Source organism: Homo sapiens, chromosome 9, assembly GCF_000001405.40.
Source record: "Homo sapiens chromosome 9, GRCh38.p14 Primary Assembly".
NCBI lineage: Eukaryota > Metazoa > Chordata > Mammalia > Primates > Hominidae > Homo > Homo sapiens.
The window spans coordinates 71962305-71986885 of NC_000009.12; the positions used below are offsets into that span (position 1 = coordinate 71962305).

A 24581-nucleotide genomic window follows, 5' to 3' on the forward strand; every position below is an offset into this window, starting at 1 on the left:
GAGATACTTAGAATTTGGGGATATTGTTTCCTTAAAAGCATTCTCTAAGTAGCATATGATGTTATCCCATAGTAAAGTTTTATGATCTTGCTATGTTGACTACAGATGACTTAGAGCCATTGCAGGAAAATAGGACTTTATGAAACTTCAGCAATGTTGCGTTTCTGTTTTGTACACCAAGGGTGGAGTACTGTGGAACACTGTTTACAAAAGTACCTCGTCATCACATACATGAAAGTACGACAGGAGCTAAATTATGTTAAAGGTTAAAGTGTAATAACCAGGAAATGAAGGCAGTGCCAGAAGAGTTGTAATCACGTAAAGTCTTTTATTTCTAGCAAGTAGTAATCTATTTTATGTCAGTCCCAAAGGGAAACCCTAAGAAGATAGAGGAGAAATTTTACTTCCTTCAAACAGATTTGCCAGATGTTGATAGGTTTAATTATACAATACAAAAAGTTGTGTTACTGGCTGGGCGCAGTGGCTCATGCTTGTAATCCTAGCACTTTGGGAGGCCGAGGCAGGCGGATCACTTGAGGTCAGGAGTTCGAGACCAGCCCGGCAAACATGGTGAAACCCTGTCTCTACTACAAATACAAAAATTAGCCAGGTGTAGTGGTGCGTGGCTATAATCCCAGCTACTCGGGAGGCTGAGGCACGATAATCACTTGAACCCGGGAAGTGGAGGTTGCAGTGAGCCGAGATTGCGCCATTGCACTCCAGCATGGGGGACAAGAGTGAAACTCCGTCTCACCAAAAAAAAAGGTTGTGTTACTATGACAACAGTGTCATAAAAAAATCTTAAGCGTTTTTTGTTTTTTAACTGGGGTTGTGGAAGGGATGATACAGTGATTACTAGTATAATTTGATGCTACTGTTTTTGTTCATGCTAAGCTGCCAGGACTTTTAGTATCCATTATAAAAAATGAGACTCAGAGAAGTTAAAGTAACTTTCAGAGATTACATTGTTACCGGGGGATCCTTGCTCCCAGAGCTCCCAAGATGGTGGCAGGCCACTTCCAAGATGGCGGTGTGCTGCTTCCAAGATGGTGGTGAGAGGTGACGGCGTGCTGGCAGTCCTCACAGCCCTCGCTCGCTCTCGGTGCCTCCTCTGCCTGGGCTCCCACTTTGGCGGCACTTGAGGAGCCCTTCAGCCCACCGCTGCATTGTGGTAGCCCCTTTCTGGGCTGGCCAAGTCTGGAGCCAGCTCCCGCAGCTTGCAGGGAGGTGTGGAGGGAGAGGCGTGAGCGGGAACCCGGGCTGCGCGAGGCGCTTGCGGGCCAGCTGGAGTTCCGGGTGGGCGTGGGCTTGGCGGGCCCTGCACTCAGATTAGCTGGCCGGCCCTGCCGCCCCGGGCAATGAGGGGCTTAGCACCCAGGCCAGCGGCTGCAGAGGGTGTACTGGGTCCCCCAGCAGTGCCAGCCCACTGGCGCTGCGCTTGATTTCTCCCCGGGCCTTAGCTGCCTTCCTGCGGGGCAGAGCTCGGGACCTGCAGTCCGCCATGCCTGGGCCTCCCACCCCTCCCTGGACTCCTGTGCAACCTGAGCCTCCCCTACCAGCGCCACCCCCTGCTCCACGGAGCCCAGTCCCATCAACCACCCAAGGGCTGAGGAGTGCGGGCGCACGGCACGGGACTGGCAGGCAGCTCCATCTGCAGCCCCGGAGTGGGATCCACGGGGTGAAGCCAGCTGGGCTCCTGAGTCTGGTGGGGACGTGGAGAACCTTTATGTCTAGCTCAGGGATTGTAAATACACCAATCAGCACCCTGTGTCTAGCTCAGGGTTTGTGAATGCACCAATCGACACTGTATCTAGCTACTCTGGTGGGGCCTTGGAGAACCTTTGTATAGACACTCTGTATCTAGCTAATCTGGTGGGGACGTGGAGAACCTTTGTGTCTAGCTTAGGGATTGTAAACGCACCAGTCAGCGCCCTGTCAACACAGACCACTGGGCTCTACCAATCAGCAGGATGTGGGTGGGGCCAGAGAAGAGAATAAAAGCAGGCTGCCCCAGCCAGCAGTGGCAACCTGCTGGGGTCCCCTTCCACACTGTGGAAGCTTGGTTCTTTGCAATAAATCTTGCTGCTGCTCACTCTTTGGGTCTACACTGCCTTTATAAGCTTTAACACTCACCGCAAAGGTCTACAGCTTCATTCCTGAAGCCAGCGAGACCACAAGCCCACCGGGAGCAATAAACAACTCCAGACGCGCCGCCTTAAGAGCTGTAACGCTCACCGTGAAGGTCTGCAGCCTCACTCTTGAGCCAGCGAGACCACGAACCCACCAGAAGGAAGAAACTCCGAGCACATCTGAACATCAGAAGGAACAAACTCCAGACACGCCGCCTTTAAGAACTGTAACACTCACCGCGAGGGTCCATGGCTTCATTCTTGAAGTCAGTGAGACCAAGAACCCACCAATTCCGGATACAGTGGCAAGCCTTGTGTTCTCTGACCTGGGGTGCTTGGCCTCACGGATTCCAAGGAATGAAATCTTGGGCCATGTGGTGAGTGTTATAGCTCTACTAGAAGCTGTGGGTCACGGAAGAGAACTGTGGAACCCAGTGACTAGTGTTTAGCTCAGTTAGGACGAACCCGGGCACTTAGCCGTGCAGGAACAATGGCAAGCCTTTAGTCCAGTCAGGAGCGGCAATGGGCACCTGGTAAGATCAGGAGCACAGCGGACACCCTACCGGATCCAGAGGGATGGAAGTCAGTGGTGGGTCTGCGACGGCAGCAAACAGCAGTGGTGGACAATGAGTGAAAGCTCAGCTCGAGCAGTAACAAACAGACCAGAAGAGAGTGCAGTTGTAAGATTTAATAGAGTAGAAACAGAGCTCCCATACAAAGGTAGGGGACCCAAAGAGGGTAGCCATTGCCGGCTTGAATGCCTGGGTTTATATCCCAATTATTGTCCCTCCCACTGCGCTCTCAGGCAATAGATGATTGGCTATTTCTTTACCTCCTGTTTTTGCCTAATTAGCATTTTAGTGAGCTCTCTTTACTACCTGATTCGTCGGGTGTGAGTTTAGTTGCAAGCCTGATGTTTAAAGGTGGATGCGGTCACCTTCCCAGCTAGGCTTAGGGATTCTTAGTCAGCCTAGGAAATTCAGCTAGTCCTGTCAGTATGACAAGGACATGTCAAGGGCGGGCTAGAATCAAGGTCTCCAGTTTCCCAAACTAGTGTTCTTTTCCTACTATTTTATTGCCAGTGCTCAAGTGATCATCCCACCTCAGCCTCTGAGTAGCTGGGACTACTACACTCTGGTAGGTGGTGTGCACCCCTACACCTGGCTAATTTTTGTTTTTTGTATAGATGGGGTCTCTCTATGTTGCCCAGGCTGTTCTCTAACTCCTGGGCTCAGGCAATTCTCCTGCCTGGGCCTCCCAAGGTGCTGGGTTTACAGGCATGAGCCACTGTGCCCACCCAATAGTAGTATTTTTAAGAAGTATATTGTTTCCTTTATCAAGAAACATGTAAACAGTGGTGACCTGTGTTTTTATTTGACCATAGTTTCCACTAAAATGATTAGTTGTGGTATATGTATGGTCAGAATTGTTTGAGTGATTGTTTCTGGGAATTGTGTGTGTTAAAGTGAACTAAAGATAGCTTGATAATGACTCCCTATTTCTATATTTGAGTCCTTGTGGATGAACTGCAACCTAATTTAATAGGTAGACAAGATTGAAAACCTAAGTTTAACTAACAGGAGTATGCGCCTGTAACAATAGCTGAGTCTTGGCCAATCCCAGCAGCCATACTTCAACCATTCATACACTGCTGAGTGTTCAAACTGTTCAAATAAGGCAAATGCTAACCTGTAACCAATCCAGCTGTTTCTATACCTCCCTTCCTATTTCTGTACTGCACTTTACTTTTTTTGTCTATAAATTTGTTCTGACCATGAGGCATGCCTGGAGTCTCTCTGAATCTGCTGTGATTCTGGGGGCTGCCTGATTCGTGAATCATTCATTGCTCAATTAAACTCCTTTAAATGTAATTCAGCTGAATTTTTTCTTTTAACATGTGTATTCCATAAAGAAATGAAAAGAAGGCAAAACTATCATCATTTTGACATTTCTGAAGTTTTCTTAGCAATGGACTCATAAAATACAATATAGCCATTTTTAAGGGAAATTTGGAAAAATTTATATTTAGGAGAATTTAAAATTTTTCCTTACCATTTTAGGGAGGTTTGAATTTTTCCCCTGAAGTTTTGGTAATCTGAATCTATAAAACAAACATAATACATAGATTAACAAGGGAAAAGGATGTACAAATTTTATTGTGTGCATACGTGTGCACAGGAGTCATGACTATAAAAAAAACGCAAAGGCAAGATGGTTAACGCTTTTGTATCATCTTGATGTTACAGAGAGAATGGGGGGCTCAGATTGTGGCAAAGCAGGATATTGTGGAAAGACAGTTATGAGTGGGGGAGAAGAGGAGAAACCTGGGCAAAGGCAGTCTTGTTATGCAGATGAAACCTCACAGGTGGTAGCCCCACAGGGCCTCTGGTAAATGTTTCTGTCAGACCTTTAAAGTTTTAGAGCTGAGTTGATCTTTCCTAGATCCAGACAAGGGCGGGATTCAGAGAAAGCCTGTTTATATCTGTTGTTTACTTCACTTTATTTCCTCTGCAGATGCAAATCATCCTCACAAAAGACAGCTTTGCTGGCCGTTTGTAAGATGTTCAAAATACTTAATAAGTTTTGTGCCACCCTCTGGCTTGTTTTTTCATTCTTTTAAGAGTGTGTTTTGAAGAGGAGACATTTTTTATTCTGGAGAGGGCCCATTTAACAAATTATTCTTTCTAGATCATGGTTTTGTTGTTGTAGATAAGATGTCTTTGCCTAGCTGAGGGTTCTTCTTCTAGAAGTTGTATAATTCTTGATTTTATATTTGAATTTATGTTCTATTTCTTGTTAATTTTAGGGATAGTCAGTTTTTCCAACATTGTTTGTTGAAAAGACTGTCTTTTCTCTATTCAGTTTCCTTTCTACTATCTTGAAAATCAGTTGGTCATATATGTACGTGGGTCTGTTTCTGGTCTTTATTCCATTGATCTGTGTGTCCTTTCACCAGTACTACACTACCTTGATCACTACCTTGTGATAAGTCTTGAAATCACATAGTGAGAATTCTCCAACCTCATTTTTCATTTTCATAACTCTTTTGGCTGTTGTAATTTCTTTGCTTTTTCTTATACAAAGTAATTAATCATTGCTAGAAACATAAAAATACAGTTTATGTTTGTTTACTGACCCCATATATTGTGATTTTATTAAACTCACTGTTTATGTCCAGTTCATTTTAAAAAATAGATTCATTGGTGTTTTCTATATAGACAGTGATTTTTTCTTCTAAATAAAGACACTTATTTCTTCTTTTCAATCTCTATGACCTTTCTTTTTTTTTTTTTTTTTTTTTTGGCTGCCATTGCACTGCCTAGGACCTCCAATATCATGCTGAAAAGGAGTGTTGAGAGCAGATATTCTTGCCCTGTTTCTGATCTTACAGGGAAGGTATTCAGTCTTTCATCATTAAGTAGGAAATTAGCTGTAGTTTCTTTGTAGTTATCTGTTTTTAGGTTGAGAGTGTTTCCTTCAGTTCATAGTTTACTGAGAGTTGTTATAAACGGATGTTATATTTTTGTAAAGCTTTTTTCACATCTAATAACATCATCATATGGTTTTTCTTAGAACATTGCTTTAGTGAATTTTTTTTATTGGCTTTGAATATACTGAATTAGCCTTGTATTCCCAGGATAAATCCATTGCTGCATATATATATATATAGAGAGAGAGAGAGAGAGTGCATGCAAGAGAATGAGCATGCGAGAGAGTGAGCAAGCGTGTGTGCAAGATGTTTATATATTGCTGGATTTGATTTGCTAACATTTTGTCATGGATTTTTACATCTTTGTTCATTAGAAATACTCATCTGTCATTTTCTTGTTTGCTTTTTTTTTGTCTTGATATTAGAGCCTTATCAAATGAGTTGAAAAATATTTCTTCCTATTTGTTTTTCTGGAAGGATTTGTATATGATCAGTATTATTTCTTAAATATTTGATAGAATTTACCAGTAAAGCCATTTGGGCCTGGAGTTTTCCTTAAAAAAAAAAAAAAATTAGGAGAGTTTTTTTAGAGTTATGATTAAATTTTTCTTTAATGGATAGAGGAGTATATTTATTTCTTCTTCAGTGAGTTTTGATATTCTTTCTTTGCAAAACTTTGGCTATTTCTACAGAGTTGTTGGGCTTATATGCATAGAGTTAAATCTAAAATTTTCCCATTATTCTTTGTTTTTTGAGACAGAGTCTTGCTTTGTCATTTGTTAGAAATAAATTTTCGGTGCCACCAAAGAAATAGCACTCAAACATAAATTTTCTCAGCAAGGCAATTTTACTTCTATAGAAGGGTGTGTCTCGCGGATGGAGCAATGGCAAGAGTACACCTGAACAAAGGAGGGGAAGGGGTTCTTATCCCTGACGCAGGTAGCCTCTACTGCTGTGTCGTTCCCCTATTGGCTAGGGTTGGACCACACAATCTAAGCTAATTCCAACTGGCTATTTTAAACAGAGCAGGGATATGAGCCAGAGTGGCGGGGTGAGCAGTTTCGGCAGGAAAGACGGTTATGGAATAGGTGACTAAAGGTGACTCAGGTCAGAGTAGGTGACCAGGGGTGACTCAGGACGGAGCAGGTGACCAGGGGAACAGATGTGAACTACTGATTAGAACTGGCGGGAAGGTTGTTTACTGAAACTAGGGGCAAAGAGATGAAGAGAACAAGGAAGTTAAACTTGAAAATGGAGAACAAAGAACTGAACATACTGACATACTGATTCTTTGAAGAGAAACTTAGAACTCGCTGTGTTTAACACCCAGGCTGGAGTGCAGTGGCGCAATCTTGGCTCACTGCAACCTCTGTCTCCCAGGTTCAAGTGATTCTCCTGTCTCAGCCTCCCAAGTAGCTGGGATTACACCACCATGCCCAGCTAATTTTTTGTATTTTTAGTAGAGATGTGGTTTCACTATGTTGGCTGGGCTGGTCTCAATCTCCTGGCCTCAAGTGATCCACCTGCCTCAGCCTCCCAAAGTGCTGGGAGTACCAGCATGAGCCACTGCACCCAGCCTCTTATTATTCTTTCAATGTCTGTTAGATCTATAGTGCTGTACCATCTTTTATTCCTGATGTTTCAGTGTATGTATTTATGAATTATATTGATCTTTTCAAAGAGCCTGCGTTTGGCTGCATTGATTTTATTTTTCTGTTTTCAGTATCATTGATTCTGTTCTTATTACAGCACCCCTTTGTTTGCTTTGAGTTTAATTTACTGTTCTATTTTCTAAAGGTAAAAGTTTAGATAACTTTTTTGTTTAATATAATTTGTAATCATGTATTAAAATAAATTTCTCAAGGACTTCTTTAGCTCCGTTTTGTAAATTTTGATGCATTTTCATTGTCATTCAATCAAAATATTTTCTTTTTGTGTGTGTGAATTCCTCTTTGATCTGTGGGTTATTTAGAAGTGTTTTATTTTCTAAATATTTGAGCATTTTCTAGATATTTTCTGTTATTGATTTTTTGTTAATTTCACTGTGGCAAGATGATATATACTTTATATAAATTTCAGGGTTTTTTCTTTTTTTTTTCATACAAAGTTTCACTCTTGTCGCCCAGGCTGGAGTGCAATGGCACAATCTCAGCTCACTGCAACCTCCGCCTCTTGGGTTCAAGCAATTCTCCTGCCTCAGCCTCTCAAGTAGCTGAGATTGCAGATGTGCTCCCCCATGCCCAGCTAATTTTTTTTGTATTATTAGTAGGGACGGGGTTTCACCATGTTGGCCAGGCTAGTCTCAAACTCCTGACCTCAGGTGATCCACCCACCTCGCCCTCCCAAAGTGCTGGGATTATAGGCGTGAGCCACGGCACCCGGCCAGTTTTTTCTTTTTTAAAATATGTTGAGGTTGGTTTCATGGCCCAGAATATGGTCTGTCTTAGAGAATGTTCCATGTATACTTGAAGACAATGTATTGCTCTTGTATAGAGTGTTCTAAAATTGTCATTTTGGCTGATAACGTTCATACAGAATAAGTACCTCACGATCCTTATAATAATATACTTCCAATTCCTCCCGGCCAATTTTGTATTATTGTTGTCATACATTTTACTTTTACATATTCTATAAATCCATAATATATTTCCACTATTTTGCCTGTAGACTCTCAATTCTATTCTGATGACCTATATACGTCTATTCTTATGTCAGTACTACACAGTCTGGGTTACTGTAGGTTTGTAGTGTGTTTTGAAATCAATACATGTGAATCCTCACATTTTATTGTTCCTTTTCAAGATTGTTTTGGCTATCCTGGGTGCCTAGAATTTCTGTATGAACTTTAGGATTAGCTTGTCAATTTCTGCAAAAAAAGCCAGCTGGAATTTTAATAGAGAGTTCATTGAGTCTGTAGATCAGTTTGGGGAGTATTGCTATCTTCTCAATATTCTCAATATTAAGTCTTTTTTTTTTTTTTCCTGAGATGGAGTCCCACTCTTGCCCAGGCTGAAGTACTGTGGCACATCTCCCAGGCATGCCACCACACCCAGCTAAATTTGTGTATTTTTAGTAGAGATGGGGTTTCACCATGTTGGCCAGACTGGTCTCAAACTCCTGATCTCAGGTGATCTGCCCGCCTCAGCCTCCCAAACTGGTGGGATTACAGGCCTGAGCACTACTCCCGGCCTACAATATTAAGTCTTTTCATATAAAATATGGGATGTCTTTCCGTATAGTTAGGTCTTTAGTTTCTTTCAGTGATGTTTTGTAATTTTCAGTGTATTGGTCTTGCACTTCTTTTATTGGATTTATTCCTTTATTCTTTGGTAGATTGTTTCTTGGTAGTGTATAGAAATACAGTTGAGTTTTGTATATTGATCTTGTTTTAACACATTTTTAATGACACTTTAAAAAATTTTAAGAGTGGATAAATATCCAGCAGTTTTATTCTGCAGCTGTAAACTGTTATTTAGAAATGTGATATAATTAATTTAGAGTGACATAAGATAAACACCTGAAATTGAAACCTAGGAATTTTGATTTCTTAGGCTTTTTAACTATACATTTAGACACATCTTATTTTATCAAATAAGTCTGAAATAAACATAAATAAGTTAACATTTTATTTTTTATTTTAGTGTTAAATGTTTACAAAAGACAGTGAAGGATTCTTATCACATAATGTGCAGGCCATGTGCCTGTGAACTTGAAGTTTGCGCAAAATGTGGAAAGAAAGAAGACATTGTTATTCCGTGAGTGTTTCCTTTTATGTTTGAATTTTACTCTTAGTGATTGATACATGAATTTCTTTTAAGAGATGATCCTTGCTAGGCGCAGTGGCTCACGCCTGTAATCCCAGTACTTTGGGAGGCCAAGGCAGGTGGATCACGAGGTCAGGAGTTCAAGACCAGACTGGCCAAGATGGTGAAACCTCATCTCTACTAAAAATACAAAAAAATTAGCCGGGCACAGTGGCAGGCGCCTGTAATCCCAATTACTCGGGAGTCTAAGGCAGGAGAATCGCTTGAACTTGGGGGGCAGAGGTTGCAGTAAGCTGAGATGGTGCCACTGCACTCCAGCCTGGGTAACATATAGTGGGACTCCATCTCAAAAAAAAAAAAAAAAAAAAGAGATGATCCGTGATCCATAACCCTTAGACTTAAGTTGTATGTCAAACTAATATAGACTTTTAAAATTATTTTTCTATCATTACAATAAAAGTGAAACTATATTTTTAAGAAAATAAAATATTTATGTGTGAGATTCATATTCATTACAAAAGAATTACACATTATTTAACAACTTTTCTTTTAATAGACATCATATATTAATTTATTTGAGCCTACTTTAGTGACAATAGTATTATAATTGGTTGGATCTCAAGTTAGCGTTCAATGATTTTTTTTTTTTGAGAAGGAGTTTCGCTCTTGTTGTCCAGGCTAGAGTGCAATGGCACGATCTTGGCTCACTGCAACCTCCGCCTCCCAAGTTCAAGCGATTCTCCTGCCTCAGCCTCCCAAGTAGTTGGGATTACAGGCTTGCACCACCACACCCAGCTAATTTTGTATTTTTAGTAGAGACGGGGTTTTGCCACGTTGGCCAGGCTGGTTTCGAACCCCTGGCCTCAGGTGATCTGCACGCCTTGGTCTCCCAAAGTGCTGGGATTACAGGCATGAGCCACCACTCCCAGGTGGATCTTTTTCTTTATACTTACTTCATTAGGTTTCTGTTATTCAAGAAGTGTAGTGGTAAAAGTCTTTTCAATCTACATGGTTAAATAATGATAGCCTGGGAAATAAATAGAAATTTTTTCTTTCATCTTTAGGTTGAATAAAGAAACAGAAAAAATAGAACATACTGAAAATAATCTAAGTTCCAACCATAGAAGAAGCTGCAGAAGAAATGAAGAAAGTGATGATGATTTAGATTTTGATATTGATTTAGAAGACACAGGAGGAGACCATCAAATGAATTAATATCACTGTATTAAAAGTCTGCCGGGCACAGTGGCTCACGCCTGTAATCCCAACACTTTGGGAGGCCAAGGAGGGTGGATCACCTGAGGTCAGGAGTTCGAGACCAGCCTGGCCAACATGGCGGAACCCCATCTCCACTAAAAGTACAAAAAATTAGCTGGGCGTGGTGGCTCATGCCTGTAATCCCAGCTACTCAGGAGGCTGAGGCAGGAGGATTGCTTGAACCCTGGAGGCGGAGATTGAAGTGAGCTGAGTTCGTGCCATTACACTCCAGCCTGGGTGACAGAGTGAGACTCTGTCTCAAAAAAAATAAAATAAAAAGTCAATTTAGAATGTGAAATTCTGACCACCTTTTGGCTTTGAGTATTTTCCAAAAGATATTTGAAATCCTAATGAGGAAATCAGAAAAAGCTATGGAAAAATAGACAAATTTCATACATGAACAATATAAATTGTGTATATTACTTAACATCAAACTAAACAAGATTCAGAATTGATGGTTGTATAAGAACTAGCTCATGTAAAAATAAAATAACATTATTACATTGCCTCAAAAATTGGTCCTCGGTAAGTGCCTTTTGATAAATGATCTCAAATAAATGACTCATAGCAAAAGCCCTGTCGCTTATGTTTAATTTTTACAAAGTAAAAGCAATTTTTTCCAAATAATAATGTTTAACAAGCGTATAGCAATTCTGCTTTGTATTTTTATATATTTCATCACATTTTAACTTTTTTCTCGTGAAATGTACATACAGAAAAAGTGCATATAATTTATACACTTTATAAGTGTATGCATTTTTTATAATAATTATAAAGGAAAGTTCATGCATTTACACACCTCGGTGAGGAAACTGCCAGCATCAGGACACCCCAGTGAGGCTCTCCCTCAGCAAAAGTTCATCTTTCTTCCCATAGTTGGCACTATTCTGAATTTTGATCATTATTGTCTTAATTTTTTTACTACCCATGTTTGTACTCCTAAACAATATAAATTAGCTTGGTCTGGGTTTTGTTGTTTTTTTTTTTTAACTCTTCTTTTTTTATTACGTTTCTTATTTTATTTCTTTAATTTTATTTATTTTATTAATTTATTTTTCTGAGACAGAGTTTCACTCTTGTTGCACAGGCTGGAGTGCAATGGCGCAATCTCAGCTCACTGCAACCTCCACCTCCTGGGTTCAAGCGATTCTCCTGCCTCAGCCTCCCAAGTAGCTGAGATTACAGGTGCCCGCCACCACGCCCAGCTGATCTTTGTCTTTTTAGTAGAGACGGGGTTTCACCATGTTGGCCAGGCTGGTCTTGAACTCCTGACCTCAGGTGATCCACCTGCCTCGGCCTCCCACAGTGCTGGGATTACAGGTGTGAGCCACCATGCCAGGCCATATTTTTTATTTTTTATTTTACTTTTTTTTTTTTTGAGATGGAGTCTCGCTCTGTTGCCCAGGTAGAGTGCAGTGGCATGATCTCGGTTCACTGCAGCCTCCACCTCCCGGGTTCAAGTGATTCTCCTGCCTTAGCCTCCCTAGTAGCGGGGACTGCAGGCCTGCACCACCACACCTGGGTAATTTTTGTATTTTTAGTAGAGACGAAGTTTCACCATGTTGGCCAGGTGGTCTCGAACTCCTGGCCTCAAGCGATCCACCCACCTTGGCCTCCCGAAATGCTGGAATTACAGACATGAGCCTCCACATCTGGCCCATAGTTTGTTTTTTCTAACATTGAGAGACATTTGAGTTATCTCACATTTTTCCTGTTACATCAATACTAGCATGAGCATTGTTACATGTGTCTGTTGGTAGACCTGTGCATTTCTGTTAGGTATGTATCTAGCAGTGGTAGAGGGAATCAGGTCGATGCATCTTCACTTTTGCTATGTAAAACAAAACTTTGCCGGAGAGATTTTATCCCCTTGTTCATAGAAATGGATTAGAATTTCAGCACTCTGCATCTTCTAATACTTGGTATCAGACTTTTAAATTTCTGCCAGTTGAATATGTGTGCAATAGTATCTCTTTGTCTTAATAATTGTATTTCTAATTACAAATAAGCTTGAGCCCCTTTTTGTGTTTATTGGCTATTTCACTTTTGATAATAGGTGATATTAGGGAATAATTTAAGTGGAATGTTATTTTAGAAATCCATACTGAAATACTTAAGGATGTAATACTAATTTACTGTAAAATATTTCAGCATAAAAAAAGTGCAGACATAGATAACATTTCACTGACATCAGAAAATATTACCTGGGAATACATCAAAAAGTATTCAAGAACTCTGTCAACAAAAATATAAAATCTTATCAAGACATTAAAGAAAGTGGAGGCTGGGTGAGTTGGCTCATGCCTGTAATCCCAGCACTTTGGGAGGCCAAGGCAGGCAGATCACCTGAGGTCAGGAGTTTGAGACCAACCTGCCCAACATGGTGAAACCCTACTAAAAATAACAAAAACTAGCCGGGTGTGGTAGGTGCCTGCAATCCCAGCTACTCCGGAGGCTGAGGCAGGAGAATCGCTTGAACCCGGTAAGCAAAGGTTGCAGTGAGCCAAGATCGCGCCATTGCACTACAGCCTGGGTGACAAGAGCAAGACTCCATCTCAAAAAAAAAAAAAAAACGTGGAGACAAAAATGAATAGAAATACTATCTTCACAATTTGAAAGTCTCAGTATTCTAAACATATAGCCTGACTGAAAGAAATGTTCTGTCCCGCTGGGCGTGTTGCCTCACGCCTGTAATCCTAGCACTTTTGGAGGCCAAGGCGGACGGATCACCTGAGGTCGGGAGTTCGAGACCAGCCTGACCAACACAGAGAAACCCCATCTCTACTAAAAACACAAAATTAACCACGCCTGGTGGCGCATCCCTGTAATCCCAGCTAGTCCGGAGGCTGAGGCAGGAGAATCACTTCAACCCAAGAGGCAGAGGTTGTGGTGAGCCAAGATAGCGCTATTGCACTCCAGCCTGGGGAACAAGAGTGAAACTCTGTCTCAAAAGAAATAAATTTTCTGTCCATAAATTTGTGTGGCTTTCCTTTTTTGCATATAAACTTCTTTTCTGGACTATTTAACTTTTGTGATTAAGGAGCCAACTAAAGTCTTACTGGACCTACCATAAATTCTTTCCCATGTGAATGAATACTAATTCCTCAGATGACTTTACCAGGAAAAAAATTTAACAAAGAGCATCACCTAGTGACATATATTAATAGCTGCATTTCATTCCTTAGTGCTAAGAAAGATTGTTTTGTATTTTAAGCAGACTTTATTATATTTAGTTCCTCTACATATATTTTTAGGAATTAACCCTTCTAGTCCAAAAGCTGTTTGTATCATAACATACAGAAATGAGATGAAGGCTTTGTTTTGTTTTAATGAAATGAATCACTTTAATGTAGTGCATTAATTTGTTGCACCTTGATATCTGGCAGGAGGATATCAAGACTGCATTCACATATTCTGAAATATTACAGTGCTTTATTATAGAAGTGCCAAAGCTCTGATCATAAAACTTATATGAGGAGCTTTTAAGAAAATTATTGGCCGGGCACGGTGGCTCATGCCTGTAATCCCAGTACTTTGGGAGGCCGAGGCGGGTGGATCACGAGGTCAGGAGATCGAGACCATCCTGGCTAACGTGGTGAAACCCCGTCTCTACTAAAAATACAAAAAATTAGCCGGGCGTGGTGGCGGGCGCCTGTAGTCCCAGCTACTTGCGAGGCTGAGGCAGGAGAATGGCATGAACCCGGGAGGCGGAGCTTACAGTGAGCCGAGATCGCGCCACTGCACTCCAGCCTGGGACACAGAGCGAGACTCCATCTCAAAAAAAAAAAAAAAATTCTTATTCCTGGGATATTGTGGTTCATTTGGTCTGGAATATAGCCCAGGATTTTTTTTTTTTCAACTCCTCAGGTGATTCTGATCAACTGTAACAAATACAATTAGCTGCATATGGCAAAAAGCCATTCCCATGCCTATTTACTTCTCTACATACTAGAATATAGTACCCCCGTTGTCCCGTTTTCTCTTTCAAAGCCTCTCTTGCAACTAGGAGTATCCAGCATATGAGGGGAATCTGCTGAGACAATCTGGGAAAGACTTACCTCACTGACAAGAAGAAAGCACTTTTCAAAACAGGCTGTTTCTACCTGAATATGATTGTGAGGAAGCATGATGTCTAGAGCTTGCAGCCATGATAGGGGTACCAAACGAGCTGCAGAGACAGTGATCCAGAGCCCTGACATTGTGAAGCTGCTGAACTAACCAGCCCTGGGCTCACCCACCTCTAGAATTCTTGTAAGATAATTACATGTCCAGAGCTTTTTCAAGCACCCATATCTGTAAAAAAAAGTTTTTAAATAAAGTTTCTTTTGTTGTAAAAAAAAAAAAAAGTTAATTACACGTCTCATTAGACATTTAATGCATAAGCTGTTGCTAATTAGAAATTCTGTTACTTTCAGTCAAATGCATTCCCAGCTGATACCTCAGCAAGTTTTATAACCCTATTTTATAGCACTTACGTGCTATGGCAAAAAGAGAAAGATCAGTGTATCAAAAAATGATTCATTAGTAGTGAAGGCTTATCAATTTGGTTGTTTGATTACATTCTGCAAAAGAAGAATTGATATACCATGTATACAAGATTATATATGTAAGACCTAAATCTTATATAAGATAGATCTTATACACATTATACATTTATAATGTAAAATTAAAACTGATAGATGTCACATTTATGCAAAGTTATAAATATTCCATGATCCTAAACTTTTTTCTTAAGTGAAATATATAACAATATTAACCTTTAACACATCTTTGTCCCTTCCTTTTACCCCTCTTTCTAGGTCTTTTCCTTTCCTTGTAACATTAATCCTGTATTGAATGATTGCCCTGTAATTGTGGCATAGAATTTTTTTCTCTCGTATTGTTCAGATTTGTCAGCAATACTGAATGTTACAGGACCACTTTCCACAATTTTTACTGGCTACACTGATGGAATCTAGGGGGTTAGAATTGCTTACTCATCTCTATGCTAGTGAGTCCCACAATTTTGTCAATCATCATACCTACTGAAAAAAATCATACCTTTCCAAATCTCATACATGAAACTTTAATGTGGTTGCACCTTTAAACTAAGTGGTACAAGTGGTACAGTATTTCATCAAAACTTGGTTTAAACATTTCTATAACCTCTAGCAATGTTAATTTGAAGTATATGGATTAAATTTTAATAGTAAACATTTATATGTAAATCATTTAAATATTTTAAATGAACTTTTTAATTTTTTGAGACGGAGTCTCACTGTGTCACCCAGGCTGGAGTGCAGTGGCGCGATCTCAGCTCACTGAAATCTCTGCCTCCCGGTTTCAAGAGATTCTCTGGCTTCAGCCTCTCAAGTAGCTGGGATTACAGGTGCCCGCCACCATGCCCAGCTAATTTTTGTATTTTTTATGGAGACAGCGTTTTGCAATGTTGGCCAGGCTGGTCTCAAACTCCTGACCTTAGGTGATTTGCCTGCCTCAGCCTCCCAAAGTGCTGAGATTACAGGCATGAGCCACTGCGCCCGGTCACTTTTTTTCATTTTTAAAGTAGATCAAATGTCTTTGAATTCAACATAAGTTGTAACTAACATTTTTTAAAATATAGTTTTTTTTACAGATACCTTGAGCAAAAGAATCCAGACACAAGGTATTATATACTTTATGGGCCGCATTATGCAAAGTTCAGAAATCGTTTTAAGTAACTTATGGTGATAGACATCAGAATAGTGGTTATCTTTGGGGAGGTGGTATTGACTGGGAATGTGTATAAGAGGGGAACTTCTGGAATGCTGGAATCATCTGTATCTTGATCCAGGTGGTAGCTACACAGGTACAGAAACATAAAATTCAGCACTTAAAATTTGTTTATTTTGACTGGGCATGGTGGTGCAGGCCTGTAATCCCAGCACTTTGGGAGGCCAAGGTGGGTGGGTCACAAGGTCAAGAGATCTAGACCTTCCTGGCCAACATGGTGAAACCCCGTCTCTACTAAAAATACAAAAAATTAGCCGGGCGTGGAGGCGGGTGCCTGTAGTCCCAGCTACTTGGGAGGCTGAGGCAGGAGAATTGCTTGAACCCAGGAGGTGGAAGTTGCAGTGATCTGAGGTTGCATCGCTGCACTCCAGCCTGGCAACAGAGTGAGACTCCGTCTCAAGAAAAAAAAATGTTTTTTTGCTTATTTAGTTGTATGTCAGTTTTACCTCAATTAAAAACTAATAACACTTTTAAAAATAAATTAGTAGTAATGTATTGTTGTGAAATCCATGCCTTAAAATGAAACAACATAAATCTTGACTTAAACAAGAGTAGTAGATAAAACCACTCTGAGGCAGAATGATCTGAATCTCACCGCTGTGACACTGTTCTCATTTCTTTACCTTCGTGACGTTATGTTATGTGTGCCTTTCTTTGAAAAATGAGGGCTGTAATTTCTACAGTGTAAACTTATTGTGAGTATTAAATATGTAGAAAACACTTATCATAGTAGGGACTCTCTTCATGATGTTTATAAATATTACTTGATACTTTTTGGTTGAGACATTCCTTTCAAATCATCCTAGGGGGTTTTGTGGGCGTAGGAAGCAGGTAATCTTGAAACTCTTGGATGGAGGTAAAAGAAAGAAACCTGGAGACGGAATTCCTATTACACTGAAAGGGCAGAAGCAAACCCCTCCAATGAAAACATTTATACAGGAAAGTCAGGCTTGCTATTCACAGTTTTTAATACTTGTTGAGTTATAGACCCTTAAATAATACCACCCATAAAGGTGTGAGTGCAATAGCAAGCTTTAGAAAAAATATTGACAGTAACAACTTTATAAACTGTCCATTATTTCTTTGTCAAAACTATAACTATTGCTAATTATAATTGATATCACACACACACCAAGGAACTTGAGTAAATCAAGTGATCAAAAAATTGATATTTTAAAATTACAAAATTGAACTAAAAATAGAAAGTGAATTAGAAAAACATACTCCATTACACTGAACTTTTATTCAAATTCTAAATTTGCATTTTAAATTACAAATAAATTTTTAGCATAATTCAGTATGACCTTATGTATTCCACTTTTTATTTTTACTTGTTTAATATAGTTACAAATTTATTGTGACAAATTCTTTTTCTTTTTTCTTTTTTTTTTTTTTTGAGATGGAGTCTCACTCTGTCACCCAGGCTAGAGTGCAGTGGCACAATCTCGGCTCACTGCAACCTCCACCTCCCGGGTTCAAGCGATTCTCCTGCCTCAGCCTTCAGGGTAGCTAGGATCACAGGTGCGCGCCACCATGCCCGGCTAATTTTTGTACTTTTAGTAGAGACAGGGTTTCACCATTTTGGCCAGGCTGGTCTCGAACTCCTGACTGCAAGTGATCCACCCATCTCAGCCTTCCAAAGTGCTGGGATTACAGGTGTAAGCCATTACACCTGGCCTATATTTTTTCTTTAATCTGTAAGAGTTATTTATTTCTTTTGCCATTATGAAGAAAAATCATAACATGGGAACAATGACCTAAATAACTGAAAAAGGAAATGAATTGGCCCTGGGGAAATTGCCGTGACCAGCTGAGGTTAGAAAAGATGGTCTAGAACAGGACAAAACTGACATCCCTTAGCAGAGGATATTACAACATGTCCGCAAAGTCAGGAAACATAAGATAAAATGATTTTTAAAACTATATTATTTACACTTCCCAACAGTGTACTGTACTCGATATGTTTTCTGGCTAAGTACTCTAAATTTAAAGCAATAGGTCCAACTGTGACTCTGGAAAAACATATAATGAGTAATCTGGAAACACAGGGAGAATAGTATATTATATACTTCACCCAAAAACATTCTGAGCTCACTATTTAGAAGTGTAACTAAACAGTTACACACTGTTTAAAAATAAGTTTCTCCTATGTTTCTCGTCTCTGCAACACTTGTGGCTGCCAGCTGACACAAGGCAGGTGCAGTGTGAGTGGCTGCCAGTGGACAGTGACAAAAACAAGACTTACTGAAACAAACAAGTGTTTCATAAATAATTTGGAAACAATTTTGGAATCCCTTTCTTGGTCATGGTAATAGTACACTTCAGATCCTATTAAGTGATTTATGTGTGGGAAATCCTCAACTGGTAATGCTGGAAATGCTTAATGATGCTATACTACTGTCCGTAAATGTGAGAGGATATCCAACAGAAAATGAAAATCCCAGAGGAAGCAAGCCACAGTGAGGGGCCAGGCTGTCTCTGCAAGGTCATGAACATCTGATATAAAGTTTGCATTGTAGCTGTGTGGTTACACAAGCAGGTACAACTGAAATGGGCCCTAGGGGATAGATTAGAGACAAATCAGGAATCCACAAAACAGCTCCATAGTATGCTTGGACCAGCATCTAACCAGTCAACCTCTGTATATTTTTCCAGTCATACAGCATCCTCTTTTTCTATGATCCACTTGTCAAGTAAATTTTGCCCACACATGGGACATGCTTCTAGTCCGAAAAATAAATCATGTTCTTCCCAGCTGTAAACTAATTGCAGAGATGACTAAAAACATCATGGAATTGAACTTAAAGCAGCAATTTTTCTTTTCTTGGTTCACTGCTGCATTAAGGAGTTGGAAGCTTTAGAAGGAGTTTCAACTCAGGAGTCACTGTCCCTTGAGTGAGACCCCACCTGTATGGAGGAGCTGGTGATTCTATATCTGCACTTAACATTGTTAGTAGACTGACTACTATATCTTGCTATTTATATTCTATTTTTATATGTAGTAGATGTGATTAGTTAAGTCCAAATTCAATTAAAATTATCACAGTATTCCTGAAATTATGTATTTCCTCAATTTATGCTTAAGGTTCAATTTAACTATTGTGGGGCTATGATTTTTTTGCTGTTAAAAAGGAATTCTTGGCCTGGAAATGGTTGGGAATTACTGAGAAAAATACCAGCCTTCATTGTGCTGTAAAGTCAGTTAAATTGTATGAAAGCTTTTCTCATAGTGATAATTGTCTCTATATTTTTAAAATGCTTTATCGAGGCATAATTTACATGTGTAAGACTCACCAATTTTAAGTGTATAATTTAACGATTTGGTAAATAGACAAGCATTGTGCATTTATCACCACAATCCAGTTTTAGAACATTTCCATCATCCCAAAATGATCCCTCATGCTCATTTGTAGCCACTCCCCATTCCCACTCCCCAGCCCCAAGCAACTTAATCTTTTGTGTGTCCATAAAATTGCCTTTTATGAACCTTTCATATAAATGACATCATAAAATATGTAGTCTTTGAGTCTAGCTCCATTCACCTTACATGACATTTTTGAGGTAGAGCCATGTTAAAACATGTACCGATAGTTCATCATTTTTTTTTTTTCTGAATAGCATTCCATTGTATGGACATACTAATTTTGTTTACCCCTTCAAATTTGGATTGTTTCCACTTTGGGCTATTATGAATGATACTGTTGTGAACACTTGCATGCAAACTCTTTGTGTGGACATATGTTTTCATTTTTCGTGGATATATATACCTAAGAGGGAGATTAGATTGCTGGATTGTGTGGTAAATTCATATTTAGTTTTTAAGGAACCACCAAACTTGTGGTAATAGCTGCACCCTTTTACAATCCTAGAGCTTTGTGAGGACTCCACACTGAGGAGGCTCAAGATCCTCGCCAACACTTGTAATTGTCAGTGCATTTTGATTTATTGTCATTCTAGTGTGTGTGAAGTCTCACTGTGGTTTTAATTTGTATATTTCTTTTTTTTTTTTTTTTTTTTTCAGATGGAGTCTCCCTCTGTTGCCCAGGCTGGAGTGCAGTGGCAGGATCTTGGCTCACCACAACCTCCGCCTCCCTTGTTCAAGTGATTCTCCTGCCTCAGCCTCTCGAGTAGCTGGGACTACAGGCGCACACCACCATGCCCAGCTAATCTTTGTATTTTTAGTAGAGATGGGGTTTCACTATGTTGGCCAGGCCGGTCTCGAACTCCTGACCTCATGATCTGCCTGCCTCAACCTCCCAAAGTGCTGGAATTACAGGTGTGAGCCATCATGCCTGGCCTAATTTGTATATTTCTAATGACTCATGATGTTGACTGAGCATCTTTTCTTTTCTTTTCTTTTTTTTTTTCCTTGTTTTTTGAGATGGAGTCTTGCTCTATAGCCCGGGCTGGAGTGCAGTGGCACCATTTCAGCTCAATGCAACCTCTGCCTCCTAGGTTCAAGTGATTCTCCTGCCTCAGCCTCCCGAGTAGCTGGGATTACAGGCACACACCACCATGCCCAGCTAATTTTTGTATTTTTAGTAGAAACAGGTTTTCACAATGTTGGCCAGGATGGTCTCCATCTACTGACCTTGTGATCCGCCCCCCTAGGCCTCCCAAAGTGCTGGGCTTACAGGCATGAGCCACTGCACCCAGCCGACTGAACATCTTTTCATGTGTTTATTAGCCAATCCTATATCTTCACTGGTGAAATGTCTATTCAGATGTGTTGCCCATTTTAAAAATTGGGTTGTTTTCTTACCATTGAGTTATGAGTCTTTTATATATATTCTAGATACAAGTCCTTTATCAGATATAATTTGGAAATATTTTCTCGCTGTCTGTAATGTGTTATACATCAATTTTGAGATATCCTTCACATTAAGAAACTAACGGTGTGGATAATAATCCTGGTATTGACAGAGGTTTGGACTCCTGAAGCCTGAAAGTCTATCTGCTGCCACGCCTGGGCACATACTGCATCATTTACAAAACTGTAGAGCACCTGTTGTGTGTGCAGTTGTGATTTCTTATAGATTTTTAGAATTGGAAGGCATGTAAAGAACACGTAATCTGGTACATTGCTTCAGTAGGTAAGTCAGTATGAACTTCTAAGAATTTTTGTTTTCTTCTGTATTGGGTCTATTGTGGGTATGTCCAACGTGACAGGGGAGGTAAGGGAAGTGGCATCCCCTGAGATAGTGACTGAAATGGCTTTCATCATCTTTAAGTCAAAGTGAGATGCCAGTAATAGGATATATGTATGTATGTACTTGTGTCTCTGTATGTATGTAAATAAACAAACATGCTGGAAGGAGGAGGTGATTCAATCAGGGACTTTGTGAAAGAAAAAAAGAATAACTGGACCTTCCTTTAATGATGAAAACTGTTTATACAGCAAACCATCAAAGCCAAAATGTGAATTTTGGTATTAGCCCGATTTTTCCTAAGAAACTGTTGATGTAACCACTGTAGTTGCAGAGATCGTTTTGGTATATTCTAGACCCTCTTTGTTTTGTTCTGTTTGGGGTTTCTTCCCCCTCAAGTTGCTCTTGTCCACCACTAGACTGGCTGCCTTTTATTCCATAGCAGACAGTCCTTAAGTCTTTGCATATGTCCTTATTCAAAAATTAATCTTCATCAGTTTTTTTCTGCAGAAAACAGTTTTTTAAATATCTTACATGAGAATGCTCTGCACCTGCAATCTCTGGTTGATGCAGTTTCCTTTCTCTCTTCTCTGTTCCCATTGGTAGAATAAATCTGCTCCTTCTTAAATCCTGAGCTGAAAATGTCCACACTTCCCAGAAGTGTACTTTAGAATCACCTGTAACATGTATTTAAAATACAGATTCCCCAGCTCCACGGGCAAAGCTCTCCTGCCATGTGACACCCTGATACAGTTCAGGGAGCCACTAAGGCAGGCCAAAATGGCTCAGCAGGCAAAGGTCCAAGCTGCCAGGGTAGTGTGTCATTACAGCATGCTTAGCATAGCTAGGAGGACAGGCTCACACCCAGCCCCACAGCTGTTGCGCTACAGACTCAGGCACAGGGCTGTCTAACTGGCAGATGTGGGCCACAACTGTTGGAGACAAGCCAGCCATATTTGGGAAAATCTTATTGTAAGGGGCAAGTGTGAGTGAGATTTAGGAGTCATGGGAAAATACACCAACACAGTAAATCTTGTGTTATAGGAGAGATGTGGAAGAAAGAGATAAACTACTGGCCAGGGTGTCTCCTGACTGGGTGACTTGCCACCACATGGGCCAGGCAGGTTGCGGCAGCTCTGCCTTTGGGAGGTGGCTGGAGGAGGGGAGGAGAGAGAGGCATGATGAAGACAGATGCACCCTTTCCTGAGCAGGGGTTAACATTCAGGGTGCCGAAAGGAATTCCACAGCCTGTTTCCCATCTCTCTTGTCCTCATCAAGTACTGGTCCTCGTGTATGTGTTCTGCTTCCGCTTTCTCAGGATGTTTACGTTTTTGCAAATACGTTTATGGAAAAGAGTTACCTCACCCACCTCTCCAAACATCTATTTGTTTTACATTTTTATTGCGGGGGAGTGATCTCTTTACATAGCTTCAAATGGCATAACATTCAGCAGTATCCAAGCTTAGATATATCTGATGAGAGGAAAGTAATTGTGAGGCCTTTGTTCTAGTTACAACTTTGTCACTATCTGACTCCATGACTCCAGCAAATTGCTTCAACTGTCTGGCCTGCAGTTTTTTTCTTGCGTTAAATAACAGACTTAGTCTAGATCGGTGGTTCTTATCATGTGGTTTCTGGACTAGCAGCATCAATATTACCTGGGAAACTTGTTAGAAATGCAAATTCTTGGGCTCTGCCCTAGACCTACTGAAACATACTCTGTGGGCGGGGCCCAGCAATCTGTGTTTGAAACGCGATTCTGATTATTTGACAAAAGTTTGCAAACCACTGGTCTAGATAAGTAGCTCTTAGCCTTGGCTGCACATTAAAATCATCTGGGCAACTTTTATAACCTACCAATCCTGGCCTCTTCCTCCAAAGATTCTGACTTAAATGGTTTCAGATGGGGACCATTGTTATGCGGTTATAGCCGACGCCTAGGTGCTACCTGAGGTCTTCAAAGCTAAAGGTCAGTGTTTCCCAGCCGTAAATGCATACCTCTAGACCTGGCCTTCTCAAGCCACTAGGTGTTGCTATAATAGAGAAGAAAAGGCATTTTCAGAACCGTCTTTGGATATGGATGAGGAGGAGGAAAATGTATTTCTTAGCTTCTGATAAGAGATTATTTTGTTATTTTAATCTGAGTGCAATTTGCTAAATATTCATTTGCAACTTGTTAAATTTATTCAAAGAAATTAAATGCCCATAAGTGACAGAAAGAATAAAGAATTGTGATATATATTTACAATAAAATACTCTTTAGCAATAAAAAGAAATAAACTAGTGATGTGCATTATAACATGGCTGAATCTCACAACATAATGAACCAAAAAGAACTGGACACAAAAGAAGTAATATCGTATCATTCCTTTAAGTGAAAATCAAACACAGGTGAAACTAATCTATGGTGATTGAGGTCAGGATAGTGATTACCCTTGGGGGTAGGGTGGTAATAATTAGAAGAGAGCACAAGGGAACCTTCCAGAGTGCTAGAAATGTTCTACTTCTCGATCTGATGATAGTTAAGTACATATACACACACTGCACATAAATATATATATACACTGAGCCATACTCTTAAATTTGCACACTTTACTGTATATGCGTTACTTGTTAGTAGTAAAGATTTACAAAAAATAAAATGTAATCCTCAGGTGGAGTAACCGGTACCCCAGCCCACCATCGCTTGGTATATTTGGCATCTACCTTGGTATTTGTACCATCTGTGGTCACTAAAAGATGAACATAGCCCTTTGATTTCATGTTGATATTAAGTTAAAATGTATATATCAATGTCTATCGTCCCAAATTGAGAAGGTAATGGCATGGTCTCTATTTATTTAAAGGTTTAGTTTGTTTTGAATATTTGCGTGCCTGCAGGACCCACATTCTGCAGCAGTACCCATGGGTGATTGAATCTCTTCAAAACCATCTGCTGTCTCTTCCTTACTCCTCAAATCTTGTAAAAGGATCTGAGAAATAAAACTGCCTGCTCTTTACTGTCTGCAGAAGAAGACCTCACCCCTTCTCCTGTCAGTGACAGGAGGTCAAATGCATCCTAACAAATCAAGGTGATATTAAAAAAAAAAAATCATTCTGTAGC

At 40.1% G+C, this 24581-nt stretch overlaps 1 protein-coding gene across 9 annotated transcripts in view, besides 2 other annotated features; it reads left to right on the plus strand.

Annotated features, from left to right (window-relative positions):
- C9orf85 (chromosome 9 open reading frame 85) overlaps window positions 1-23754 on the plus strand; it is a 74420-nt gene extending 50666 nt beyond the window's left edge. For 3 of the 9 annotated variants that reach the window (NR_157410.2, NM_001365055.2, NM_182505.5), the window contains 2 exons: window positions 9201-9314; window positions 10388-11153. Coding sequence is in view for 6 of the 9 variants with exons in the window: in NM_001365055.2 (NP_001351984.1) it covers window positions 9201-9314; window positions 10388-10538 (265 nt within the window). In the remaining 3 variants the exon portion in view is untranslated. Of the gene's footprint in view, window positions 1-9200; window positions 9315-10387; window positions 11154-19176; window positions 19281-20352 lie in introns of those variants that run through there. The other 6 variants (NR_157408.2, NM_001365057.2, XM_047422767.1 and 3 more) reach the window with 4 other exon arrangements.
- Window positions 1462-2206: an enhancer, noted in NCBI's record as "H3K27ac-H3K4me1 hESC enhancer chr9:74578682-74579426 (GRCh37/hg19 assembly coordinates)". NCBI's record gives its function as "activates a minimal SCP1, AML or CMV promoter by ChIP-STARR-seq in naive H9 embryonic stem cells {active_cell/tissue: H9 hESC(naive)}" and the evidence as "EXISTENCE:reporter gene assay evidence [ECO:0000049][PMID:30033119]".
- Window positions 2207-2951: an enhancer, noted in NCBI's record as "H3K27ac-H3K4me1 hESC enhancer chr9:74579427-74580171 (GRCh37/hg19 assembly coordinates)". NCBI's record gives its function as "activates a minimal SCP1, AML or CMV promoter by ChIP-STARR-seq in primed H9 embryonic stem cells {active_cell/tissue: H9 hESC(primed)}" and the evidence as "EXISTENCE:reporter gene assay evidence [ECO:0000049][PMID:30033119]".
- Window positions 23755-24581: the final 827 nt, after the last annotated feature.